Here is a 14005-nt window from a genome sequence, read left to right on the forward strand (position 1 = left end):
TCTTTGGGAAGCATCCACAGGGAACTGGAGGAAGGAGAGGTTAGAGGATTTACTCCCTTGTCTCCCTGCATTAAAGGTGGCTGCAGGCTGGTAGTGTCCCTCAACTGAAGCCCCTCTCCACACAATTGTCTAAGTTTCTGGGTTCTAGTAATCACTAGAAACCACTCTTTCCCTCTCTCCTTTAGGCCTAGGCAGGACTAGTCTTGGGGTATTGTCCTATCTCTTATGAGTTCCCTGTACCCTATACTGACCTTCTAAATTGTGTATTTACTTAAATTTTTCAAATTACCCAATTTGAGTGGGCCATCTGCTTGTCAGATTCCTTATAGACACCTTATGTGGACATTTGTGTAAAACATGAAAGTCATTAATTTTTTTTTTTTTGAGACGGAGTCTTGCTCTGTCACCCAGGCTGGAGTGCAGTGGCGCGATCTCGGGTCACTGCAAGCTCCGCCTCCCAGGTTCATGCAATTCTCCCACCTCAGCCTCCTGAGTAGCTGGGACTACAGGCGCCCGCCACCACACCCGGCTAATTTTTTGTATTTTTGTAATAGAGACGGGGTTTCACTGTGTTAGCCAGGATGATCTCAATCTCCTGACCTCGTGATCTGCCCACCCTGGCCTCCCAAAGTGCTGGGATTACAGGCGTGAGCCACCGCGCCCAGCGAAAGTCATTAAATTTTTAAAAGCAAATGAGGGCTGGGTGCAGTGGCTCATGCCTGTAATTCCAGCAGTTTGGGAGAGTGAGGCAGGTGGATCACTTGAGCCCAGAAGTTCAAGACTGGCCTGGGCAATATAGTGAGACCCCTCTCTACAAAAAATACAAAAAAAAAAAAACAACTAGCCAGGTGTGGTGGTGTACCCAGCTACTCAGGAGTCTGAGGTGGGAGGATTGCTTGAGCCTGAGAGGCAGAGGTTGTATGGAGCAGTGATTCCAGCCTGGGCAGCAAAGCAAGACCCTGTCTCAAAAAAAAAAAAAAAAAAAAAAAAAAAAAAGGCTGGGGCGCAGTGGCTCACACCTGTAATATCAGCACTTTGAGAGGCTGAGGTGGGTGGATCACCCAAGGTCAGGAGTTTGAGACCAGCCTGGCCGACATGGTGAAACCCCGTCTCTAATAAAAATGCAAAAATTAGCTGGGCATGGTGGCATGCCCTTATTATCCTAGCTACTCAAGAGGCTGAGGTGACAGAATTACTTGAACCCAGGAGGCAGAGGCCGCAGTGAGCCAAGATCGCACCACTGCACTCCAGCCTGGGTGACAGAGTGAGACCCCCTCTCAAAAAAAAAAAAGTAGTTAATAAGCCTAGCTTTCTCTCCTTATCTTTTCTTCTATCAATCAGACCAGGGCTTAGAGGGAATCATAGCTCAGGGGGTATGGTACTTAGGTTCAGAAGTCCTAAAGTTGCAGCTTGGGGCTTAGGAGTCTCAGGCTTAGAAATTCTATTTTAAAATCTGTTAAAAAATCAATTAATACGAGCACTAATTCAGCTACCGGTAACCACTTGCCTTTCGCTGGTGTGTCAGTTGCAGGGCAATATTTCTAGGAGAAATGTATCTTGTGTTCAAAGTAACCGACCCATGAACCTTGCAATATATTAATACATATAAACACACATACATATATTAAATATCCTAGCATGGCTAAAACTAAAAAGACTGACCATGTCAAGTGTTGGCAATAATGAGTAGTTACTAAATGTTCATACGTTGCTCATGGGGATGTAAAATAGGACAACCACTTTGGAAAACACTTTGAAAAGTTAAACATTCAATTATCTGGGTGTGGTGGTGGGCGCCTGTAGTCCCAGCTACTCCAGAGGCTGAGGCAGGAGAATGGCGTGAACCCGGGAGGCGGAGATTGCAGTGAGCCAAGATCACGCCACTGCACTCCAGCCTGGGCGATAGCAAGACTCCGTCTCAAAAAAAAAAAAAAAAAAAAAAAAAAAGTTAAACATTCATCTACCATATAGTCCAGTCATTCTACTCCTAGTCATTTCCTCAAGATAAATGAAAGCATATGTCCACCCAAAGTTGTTCATGACAATTTTATTTACAAAAGTTCAAAGCCGAGGGGTGGGGAAAGCTAAATGTCTATACATAGATGAATGGATAAACAGATTGTAGTATTTTCATGCAGTAGAATACTACTCAGGAATAAAAAGGAATAAATGATTTTTTTTTTTTTTTGAGACAGAGTCTTACTCTGTCACCCAGGCATGAGCGCAGTGGCACCATCTTGGCTCACTGTAACCTCATCTCCCAGGCTCAACTGATTCTCCTGCCTCTGCCTTATGACTAGCTGGGATTACAAGTGCACGCCACCATGCCCAGCTAATTTTTGTATTTTTAGTACCGATGGGGTTTCACCATGTTGCCCAGGCTAGTCTCCAACTCCTGACCTCAATTGATCTGCCTGCCTCAGCCTCTCAAAGTGTTGGGATTATAGGCATGGGCTACCGTGCCTGGCCAGAACAAACTATTAATGTATACAGCATGATGAATAAATGAATCTCAAATTAATTATGCTAAATGAAAGATGTGATAAACAAGAGTATATACTGTATGATTTCATTTATATACAATTTTTGAAAATGCAAACTAGCCAATAGTGACAGAAAGCAGATCAGTGCTTATCCAGGGAAGGAGGCATGGGGAGTGGGAGGATTGAGAGAGGCATTATAAAGGAACACAAAGAAACTTTTGAGGGTGATAGGTATATCTAGTATCTTGATTGTGGCAATAGTTTCATATCTCTCAGCATTTGCTTGTAAAGGATTTTATGTCTTCTTCACTTATGAAGCTTAGTTTGGCTGGATATGAAATTCTGGGTTGAAAATTCTTTTCTTTAAGAATGTTGAATATTGGCCCCCACTCTCTTCTGGCTTGTAGGGTTTCTGCCAAGAGATCCACTGTTAGTCTGATGGGCTTCCCTTTGTGGGTAACTCAACCTTTCTCTCTGGCTGCCCTTAGCATTTTTTCCTTCATTTCAACCTTGGTGAATCTGACAATTATGTGTCTTAGGGTTGCTCTTCTCGAGGAGTATCTTTGTGGTGTTCTCTGTATTTCCTGAATTTGAATGTTGGCCTGCCTTGCTAGGTTGGGGAAGTTCTCCTGGATAATATCCTGAAGAGTGTTTTCCAGCTGGTTCCATTCTGCCCATCACTTTCAGGTATACCAATCAAATGTAGATTTGGTCTTTTCACACAGTCCCATATTTCTTGGAGTCTTTGTTCATTTCCTTTTACTCTTTTTCCTCTAAACTTCTTGCTTCATTTCATTCATTTGATCTTCAATCACTGATACCCTTTCTTCCAGTTGATCGAATCAGCTACTGAGGCTTGTGCATGCGTCACATAGTTCTCGTGCCGTGGTTTTCAGCTCCATCAGGTCATTTAAGGTCTTCTCTATACTGTTTATTCTAGTTAGCCATTCGTCTAATCTTTTTTCGAGGTTTTTAGCTTCCTTGCAATGGGTTCAAACGTCCTCCTTTAGCTGGGAGAAGTTTGTTATTACCAATTTTCTGAAGCCTACTTCTGTCAACTCATCAAAGTCATTCTCCATCCTGCTTTGTTCCGTTGCTGGCGAGGAGCTGCCATCCTTTGGAGGAGAAGGGGTGCTCTGGTTTTTAGAATTTTCAGCTTTTCTGCTCTGGTTTCTCCCCATCTTTGTGATTTTTATCTACCTTTGGTCTTTGATGATGGTGACCTACAGATGGGGTTTTGGTGTGGATGCCCTTTATGTTGCTGTTGATGCTATTCCTTTCTGTTTGTTAGTTTTCTTTCTAACAGTCAGGTCCCTCAGCTGCAGGTCTGTTGGAGTTTGCTGGAGGTCCACTCCAGACCCTGTCTGCCTGGGTTTCACCAGCGGAGGCTGCAGAACAGCAAATATTGCTGCTTGATCCTTCGTCTGGAAGCTTCATCTCAGAGGGGCACCCAGCTGTATGAGGTGTCTGTCAGCCCCTACTGAGAGGTGTCTCCAAGTTAGGTTACACGGGGGTCAGGGACCCACTTGAGGAGGCTGGCTGGCTGTTCTCCGAGCTCAAACACTGTGCTGGGAGAACCACTGCTGTCTTCAGAGCTGTCAGACAGGGACGTTGAAGTCTGCAGAAGTTTCTGCTGCCTTTTGTTCAGCTATGCCCTGCCCCCAGAGGTGGAGTCTACAGAGGCAGGTGGGTCTCCTTGAGCTGAGGTGGGCTCCATCCAGTTTGAGCTTCCCAGCTGCTTTGTTTACCTACTCAATCCTCAGCAATGGCGGACACCCCTCCCCCAGCCAGGCGTGCTGCCTCACAGTGTGATCTCGGACTAGCAGTGAGCAAGGTTCCGTGGGCATGGGACCCACTGATCCAGGCATGGGATATAATCTTCTGGTGTGCCGTTTGCTAAGACCATTGGAAAAGAGCAGTGTTTAGGTGGCAGTGTCCCGATTTTACTGGTACAGTCTGTCACAGCTTCCCTTGGCTAGGAAAAGGAAATCCCCCAACCCCTTGCACTTCCTGGGTGAGGCTATGCCCTGCCCTGCTTTGGCTCACCCTCCATGGGCCGCACCCACTTTCCGACCAGTCCCAATGAGATGAACCAGATACCTCAGTTGGAAATGCAGAAATCACCCCTCTTCTGCATCGATCACGCTGGGAGCTGCAGACCGGAGCTGTTCCTATTTGGTCATCTTGGAACAGACCCAAATTATATCTTTAAATAGGTGCAATCTATAGTATGTCAATTATCCTTCAATAAAGCTGTTTATTTATATTTATTTTATTTTATTTTATTTTATTTTATTTATGTATTTTTCTTCAAATGGATTCTCACTCTGTCACCCAGGCTGGAGTGCAGTGGCGCAATCCCGGCTCACTGCAACCTGCACCTCCTGAATTCAAGCAATTGTCCTTCCTCAGCCTCCCTAGTAGCTGGGATTACAGGCACCTGCCACCACGCCCAGCTAATTTTTGTATTTTAGTAGAGACAGGGTTTCACCATGTTGGCCAGGCTGGTCTAGAACTCCTGACCTCAAGCAATCCCCCTTCCTTGGCCTCCCAAAGTGCTGAGATTACAGGCATGAGTCACCACACCCGGCCCTATATTTATTTATATTTTTAACCCAATCCAGGAAAAGATTGCCTGGGCTTGATTAAACACATAGTATAGGAGTTGCAGCAGAGAAATAGATCACTGAAAGCTTGCACCCTTAGGAAGCAGTGACAAGGGAAAGGAAGAAATTTGTTTATGTGCCAGATACTTTACTAGGGTTTTTTGCTTTGTACTCTGTCTCAGTGGTCCCCAACTTTTTGGTATGAGGGGTTTTTCCACGTATTGGGTTAAGGGGTGGGCAGGTGGGGGAAGGGGATGCAGAAGGAGGATGGTTTCCAGATGAAACTCTTTCACCTCAGATCATCAGGCATTAGATTTTCATAAGGAGTGTGCAACCTACATCCCTCGCATGTGCAGTTCACAATAGTGTTCACACACCTATGAGAACCTAGTGCTGCCACTGATAGGACAAGAGGCAGAGCTCAGGTGGCAATGCTCACTCACCTTCTGCTGTGCAGCCAGGTTCCTAACAGGCCACAGACCACTACCAGTCTGTAGCTCAGGGATTGGTTGGGGACCCTGCTTTATCTCAGGTAATCCTCATGACAATCCTAACAGAAGGGTACTATTATCCTGAAAATAGAAATGAGAAATTTAAAAATGAGAAAACTTTAGTTCAGAGAGGAAAAGTAACTCATTCAAGACAGAGCAGGGATTTAACCTTATTTAAATCTACTTCATGTGTTCTGCCTGTACCATTCTGTCTCTCTCTGCGTGTGTGTGTGTGCGTGCGCGTGTGTGTGTGTGTGCGTGTGCGCATGTGTGTGTGTGTCTCACCAGAAATTGAACTGGGCCCCATATGACAGATGTAAGAATTTGGGGAAGGAGATTCCAAAAGGAGAGAAACAACTCTAATAATGGTAGCAGGAACAACTGTGTTGGAGAAACAGGAGTCAGGCCAGCCCAACAGAGGAAAAGCATCCTTTTGGGAAAGGAGAGTCAATAAGACTTACAAGGCAAGTGGCAGTCAGATTTTGAAGGCAACGAGTTTTCTATTTTTCAGGATAGAAAGTTAGGACTTTGTTCCACAGACTGTAGATCTCAGTGAACAGTGAGACTGGTGGAGGAACAGGGGTGACTTATCCATTAGGCAGAGTAGGTCCAGTGTCTAGGACCCAGGATATTTTCAGGAGCCCATAAAAATGTTTAAATTTTAATTTATCTCAAAAGAAGAAAAAATGAGTATAGTAATAATAATGAATATATAAAATGAATACAGTCTGGATCAGATCCATCTTTATACCTACACTGTTGTAAAATACAATTGTGGGCTGGGCACGGTGGCTCATGCCTGCAATCCCAGCACTTTGGGAGGCTGAGGCAGGCAGATCACCTGAGGTCAGGAGTTAGAGACCAGCCTGGCCAACATGGTGAAACCACGTCTCTACTAAAAATACAAAAATTAGCCAGGTGTGATGGCAGGCACCTGTAATCCCTGCTACTCAGGAGGGGGTAAGGCAGGAGAATCACTTGAACCCAGGAGGCGGAGAATTGCTTGAACCCAGGAGGCAGAGAATCGCTTGAACTTCAGTGAGCCGAGAGGATATATTGTTCGCAAATAAACACATGAAAAGATGTTCAACATCATTACCCAGTAGGAAACTGCAAATGAAAACCACAATAAGATATCATTACACATCTATTATAACAGCTAAAATAGAAAATAGTAACAATACCAAATAGTGATAACTTAATATTTCATACATTTCTGGTGGGAATATCAAATGATACAGCCTTTCTGGAAAATACTTTGACAGTTTCTTAAAGAACTAAGCACACCTTAACATATGACCTATAGTCATACTTCTGGGCATTTACCCCAGAGAAATAAAAATTCATGTCCACACAAAAATCCGTGCAGGAATGTTCATAGAAGTTTTATTTGTAATAGCCCTAAACTGCAAAAAACCCAAATGCCTTTTTTTTGAAAGAGAGGATCTCACTCTGTTGCCCAGGCGGCAGTGTAGCGGCACGATCATAACTCACTGCAGCCTGGACCTCTGGGGCTCAAGCAACCCTTGCGCCTCAGCCGTCCAAGTAGCTGGGACTACAGGCATGTGCCAGCATGCCGGGCTTTTGTTGTTATTGTTGCTGTTGTAGAGACATGATCTCACTACGTTGCCCAGGCTGGTTGATCTCACACTCTTGAGCTCTAGAGATTCTTCCACCTCAGCCTCTCAAAGTATTGGGATTACAAGTGTGAGCCATCACACTCAGCCTTTAAATGACTCTTGCTATGTGATTGGTTAAACCAATTGTTGTACATTGATACTATGGAATATTACTGAGTAATAAAAAGGAACAGACTGTTGATACATGCAACAACATGGATCTCAAGGGCATTGTGTTATGTGGGAAAAAGCCAATCTCAAAAGGCCACATACTATATAATTCCATTGATATAACATTCTTGAAATGACAAAATCATAGATATGGAAAACAAATTAGGGATCGCCAGGAGTTAAGGATGGTGAGGGTGAGGGGTGGGTGTGACTGTAAAGGAATAGCACAAGGGAGGTTTTTGTGGTGATGAGATAGTTTTGTATCCTAACTTCAGTAGGTTTACATGAATCTACACACATCATAAAGTGGCATAGGACTATATGCACACACATCATATCAATGTCAATTTCCTGATTTTGATCTTGTGCTAGAGTTACATAAGATGTAACCATTGAGGAAGACTGAAGGCTACAGGGGACTTGTCTCTACTATTTTTTGCAATTCCCCATGAATATATGATTATTTTCAAAGTGAAAAGTGTATAAGGGCTGGGTGCTGTGGCTCACACCTGTAATCCCAGCACTTTGGGAGGCCAAGGTGGGCAGATCACGAGGTCAGGAGTTCGAGACCAGCTTGGCCAACATGGTGAAACCCTGTCTCTACCAAAAATGCAAAAAATTAGCTCGGCATGGTGGCGCGTGCCTCTAATCCCAGCTACTGGGGAGGCTGAGGCAGGAGAATCGCTTGAACCCAGGAGGTGGAGGTTACAGTGAGCCAAGATCACGCTACTACACTCCAGCGTGGGTGACAGAGCAATACTCTATCTCAACAAAAAGAAAAGTTAATAAAAACATACATGTTAAAATTTTAGAGTATGCAATAGATTCACAGGATTCAGAAACTAAAAAGTGTAAAGCAGTACACAATGAAAAAAATCTCCATTTTATTTCTGCATTCCATCAGCTCAATAGCTGAATCAGTCAAAGGCCCAGCAGGAAATAGATGGCAAGCTCAAATGGGGCAGCTGAGAAAAATTTAATAGAGGGACTATTTATAACGTTTTGTGTATAGTTAAGGAAAAGCAACAAAGATGATCAAGCATATCAGGACTAGCAAAAGCAGGGCTGTGGGGAAAATGTATAGGTGCTAGGGCTCAAGGGGAAAGAGGAGGGAGCAGTTGTTAGAACTAGACAGTTTTAGGAGTGTTGCCCAGCAGTAGCTGTGGCTGTAAGTAGAGAAACAGCTACTGCAGGCGGTGGCTCACACCTGTAATCCCAGCACTTCGGGAGCCCCAGGAGGGCAGATCACCTGAGGTCAGAAGTTTGAGACCAGCCTGGCCAACATGATGAAACTCTATCTCTACTAAAAATACAAAAATTAGCCAGGCATGGTGGTACACACCTGTAGTCCCGGGTACTCAGGGGGCTGAGGCTGGAGAATATCTTGAATCTGGGAGGTGGAGGTTGCAGTGAGCCGAGATCGTACTACTGCACTCCAGCCTGGGTGACAGAGTGAGACTCTGTCTCAAACAAAACAAAACAAAACAAAACAAAACAAAACAAAACAGAAAAACAGCCACTGCCAACTTGCAGCTGACCTACTGAGGGAAAACCTGCCAAATGAATACCACTGATCACACTCTCCCAAGCTCCGCCTCCTACTTTACCTCCCATCTTCCCAATCCAGCCCAAGCTGAGAGGGCATCCCTGAAGCATAGCACTCAGCCTGCTGGGGAAGAGGGAAACGGAAAGTTGAAGATTTGAACTAAAGGAAAATACATTAAGAATATCCAGCACAGGCCGAGCGTGGGCCACCGTGCCCGGCCTGACATTTTCAAATTGCTTCAAGAATAATTCCCCATTTGGCCAGTCGTGGTGGCAGACACCTGTAATCCCAGCACTTTGGGAGGCCAAGGTGAGTGGATCCCTTGAGCTCAGGAGTTTGAGACCAGCATGGGCAACATGGCGAAACCCCATCTATTAAAAAAAACACAAAAATTAGCTGGGCATGGTGGTGCATGCCTGTAGTCTCAGTTACTCAGGAGGCTGAGGTGGGAGGATCAACTGAGCCCAAGAGGTCAAGGCTGCAGTAAGCCACAATCATGCCACTGCCCTCCAGTTTGGGAAACAGAACAAGACCCTCATCTATTATTGATGTTTGTGTCTGATCTTTTGCTGTCACATTAATACAATGAATAGTCTTGTATACACATGTCATTTTAAGAATATACACTTGTGGATGCACAACAAATTCTCAGAAATGGGATTGCTGAGTTAAAGAGATTTGCATTCATAATTTTGATAGGGACAAGTGGCCTTCCACTGGAGTTCTATTTATTTAAACTCCTACCAGCAATGTGTGAAAAGTGCCTGTCTTCCCATTGCTTTGTCAGCAGAATTTATTATTACTGTTTTGCATTTTTGTCAATCTAATACAAGGGAAAATAGTATTGTAGGTTAGTTTTAATTGCAATTATTTTATAATGAGTAAGGCTAAGCAACTCTTCATAAATTTGCAGTCATTTGTACTTCCTTTTCTGTGAACAGTGTCTTCATATTTGCCCATTTTTCTACAGGTTTGTTGGTATTTCTTTTTTTGATTTTGTAAACAAAAAACAAAATTCTAAGGCCCACCAGCCATCTGAATGGACCCCTTCTCTCAGCCAAGGACATTCCAAAGTTAGCTCAAAAAACTAGTTCAGGCCATGATAAGAAGGGGGAGCCAGACATGCCTCATTTGGCCCTATTGGGTGTAATTCCTTTAGGAATTACTGATAGAACAAACTATTTAAGTATGATAAGAAACATTTATAAGGCTGGGTTCAGTGGCTCATGCCTGTAATCCCAGCACTTTGGGAGGCAGAGGCAGGCAGATTGCTCAGGAGTTTGAGATCAGCCTGGGCAACATGGTGAGACCCTGGCTCTGCAAAAAATACTAAAATTAGCCAGGCTTGGTGGCACATGCCTGTTAGGTCAGCTACTTGGGAGGCTGAGGTGGGAGAATCGCTTGAGTCTGGGGGGTGGAGACTTCAGTGAGCTGTGACCACGCCACTACACTCCAGCCTTGGCAACAGAGAAAGACCTTGTCTCACAAAAAAGAAAAAAAAAATAAAAAGAAAGAAATATGTATAATCTATTCCCTGTAAAGCCTGCTACCTGGATGCTTCATTTGCATGATAAAACCCTGGTCTTCACAACCCCTTATAACTCAGACATTACTTTCTGTTGAAAATAAACCCTTTAAAACAATTGCCAATCAGAAAATGTTTGAATGTGCCTACGACTTCGAAGCCCCTGTTCTGGCTGTCCTGCCTTTTCAGACTGAGCCAATGTGCATCTTCCATGTGTTGATTGGTGTCTCACGTCTCCCTAAAACACATAAAAGCAAGCTGTACACCAACCATCCGAGGCATATGCACTCAGGAGCTTCTGAGGGCTGAGTCATGGGCCATTGGTCACCCATATTTGGCTCAGAATAAATCTCCTTGAATATTTTACAAAGTCTGACTTTCTCCAGCCACAATTTCTAGGAGCTCTTTAAATACTGGGGGAGATAAACTGTTCTTTTGTGATATTCGTTGCCAAGATTTTTCCAGAGGGTCACTGATTTTCATTGACTTGGCTTACAATGTCTCCCACTCCACCTCATGAGGAAGCTTTCCTTTGTTTGTATTTATGTACTGGAATTTAGCAATTAGCCATTTTTTGGTTTTTGTTATTTCTTTTCTTGTTTATTTCCGCAATTAGCCGTTTTTTTAATGGCTATTAAACATAACTAGTAAGGTCTTCACTTTAAAGTTATAAAAGAATTTCTGAATTTCTATATGTTTTCTTTTTAGAAGTTGTATGCCTTCATATTTTACATTTAAATCATTGATCCACTTGATATTTTCTGGGAGTAAGATGTAAGATATGGTTCCAACTTAATTTTTTCCCAGACATTAACTAGTTATTCTAACACTGTTTATTGAATAATCATTACCCTGCTCCCGGATTTGAGATGCATCACTTGCTAACGTAAAAATTTGCATGTATTTAAATCTATTTATAAACTTTCTAATCTCTTCTGCAGGTCTATCTGTTATACTGTTTTAATTACTGAAGCTTTTTCGTATGCTTCAATATTTCTTACAGTTAGTTCCCGCTTACTGCTCTTCTTTTTTTTTTTTAGACAGAGTCTTGCTCTGTCACCCAGGCTTGAGTGCAGTGGCGTGATCTTGGCTTACTGCAACCTCCGCCTCCCAGTTTCAAGCGATTCTCCTGCCTCAGCCTCTTGAGTAGCTGGGACTACAGGCACCAGCCATCACGCCCAGCTAATTTTTTGTATTTTTAGTAGAGACACGGTTTCGCCATGTTGGCCAGGTTCGTCTTGAGTTCCTGACCTCAGGTGATCTGCCCGCCTCGGCCTCCCAAAGTGCTGGGATTACAGGCATGAGCCATCGCACCGGCCTGCTCTTCTTTTAAAAAAGTTTTTCTATCTTTTTTTTGTTTTTTTTGGTGGTTGCTTCGAACTTTATTTGAGAAAAACAGAAGATAAACGTATCAAAAGAACACACAGGTGGGTGCGGGGGAGGCACAGCCAGTGGCGGCAGCAGGGGTGGGCATCCGGGCTAAGGCTTTACTTGGCGGCAGTCTCGTCGGATTTTGCAGCTTCTGGGCCCCCAAGCTGGGCCCGCGACTCGAAGGTGACTGGGATGGTGATCTCGTTGGACTGCGTGGCTAGCTTGGGCATGGGGGCCTCCACGGTCAGTGTGCCCTCAGGGGACAGGGAGGAGGAGACCTGAGTGGGGTCCACACCGGTGGGGCAGCGTGTATTTCCGCGTGAAGCACCGGGAGATGTAGCCATGCTCGTCCTGCTGCTCCTCGTACTTGCCTTTGTAGGTAAGAGCTTTTTTAAGTATACACTTAAGGATTTATCTAGTCCTTACCCTCCAGCCCCTGCCCGGAAAAAAACAACCCTCTTCGTTAGACAAAGAGGAGATTAAATTTATAAATTCCCTTGGGAGAAAATTAACACCTTTGATGTTATCTTCCAGTTTAAGAACATTGTATGTCTTTCACTTGCTCAAGTCTTCCTTTATGCCCTTCAATAATGTTTCAAGATTTTCTTCCTACAGACCTGGTATATTACTTATTAGGCTTATTCCTAGGCTTTTTTTTCCTATTAAAATTGGGGATTTTTCTTCCATCGTGTCCGAATGTTGGTTAAGTAAAAGCTATTTATATTGTATATTACTTTATACTATATCACCTTGCATAATTTAATTTTTATTTATAGTATTTTTCAGTTGATTGCTTTGTATTTTCTAGCATAGAACCATATCATTTGCAACCAGCAAACGTTATGTCTTTTTCTTTCTTTTACGTGTTTTTTTCACCAAATCTTTTGGATAATATCTCTGATACAATGTTTAATAAAAATAATGATAATGAGCATATTTTTCTTTTTCCTGAATATAGGGGGAGTGTTTCTAGTGTTTCCCCATTAAACATAACACTGGTTATTTATTGGCTGAGATAGATACATTTTGTTATGTTAAAGATATCAACTAGCTCAAGTTTGTTAATAGTGTTGCTCAAATACTCTTTATTCTTACTGGTTTTCGGCCTGCTTTTCCTAAAAGTTATTGAGAGAGGTATTTGAGTGGGGGCAAAGATTTATTAAGTAGGACACAAAAATCACTAACATAAAGGAAAAGTTTGATAAATTGGACTAAAATAAATTTAAAAATTCTGTTAATCCTAAGACATCACTAAGAGAGTAAAAGGCAAGTCACAAGATATTTGCAATGCCTATATCTGAATATAAAAAGGAACACATAAAAAGCTTGATAAATATAGCTCACCAACATAAAAATGGGCAAAAGAACAGTCAATTCACAAAAAAGGATGTTGAAATACCAATAAATATATGAAAAGATGCTCATTAGCCTTTAGGGAAATTTATGATTAAAACTACAATGACAATCCACTGGTATAGCTAAAATTAAACAGACATCAATATAAAGTATTGGTGTGGCTGGACCTGGTGGCTCATGCCTGTAATCCCAGCACTTTGGGAAGCTGAGGCAGGAAGATCCCTTGAGGTTAGGAGTTTCAGAGCAGCTTGGCCAACATGGTGAAATCCCATCTCTCCTAAAAATACAAAAATTAGCTACACTTGGTGGCAGGCACCTGTAATCCCAGCTACTCAGGAGGGTGAGGCACGAGAATCCCTTGAACCTGGGAGGCAGAGATTGCAGTGAGCCGAGACCGCACTACTGCACTCCAGTCTGGGCAACAGCAAGACTCTGTCTCAAAAAAAAAAAAAAAAAAGTATTGATGTGAATGTATAGCAAGTAGAATTCTCATCCATTGCTGATAGGAGTATAAACTATTTATATCCACTTTGCAAATATGTATGGCAGTGTCTTCTAAAGCTGAACACCACATTCTGCATAGATGTAGAATTCTACTCCTGAGTATGAAATAGACACAGAAATATATGCCAAAAGAAAAGACAGGTACAAGAATGTTTATATCACAACCATTCACAACATCCCCAAACTGGAAACAATCCAGATGTCTGCCAAAATTTAAAAAAACATAAATGTGATATATTCTGTAAACAAAAAGGTATCTGAGACAGGCCACAGTCAACTTAGAAAGTTTATTTTGGCAAGGTTAAGGACGCACCCATGACACTGCCTCGAGGT

The 14005-nt window shown here is 42.9% G+C and overlaps 1 pseudogene, besides 1 other annotated feature; it reads right to left on the reverse strand.

Moving 5' to 3' along the window:
• Positions 11439-11970: an enhancer, noted in NCBI's record as "H3K4me1 hESC enhancer chr9:74622307-74622838 (GRCh37/hg19 assembly coordinates)". NCBI's record gives its function as "activates a minimal SCP1, AML or CMV promoter by ChIP-STARR-seq in naive H9 embryonic stem cells {active_cell/tissue: H9 hESC(naive)}" and the evidence as "EXISTENCE:reporter gene assay evidence [ECO:0000049][PMID:30033119]".
• On the reverse strand, positions 11807-12184 carry HSPB1P1 (heat shock protein family B (small) member 1 pseudogene 1; annotated as a pseudogene).

Source organism: Homo sapiens, chromosome 9 (genome assembly GCF_000001405.40).
Source record: "Homo sapiens chromosome 9, GRCh38.p14 Primary Assembly".
NCBI classification, from domain to species: Eukaryota; Metazoa; Chordata; class Mammalia; order Primates; family Hominidae; genus Homo; species Homo sapiens.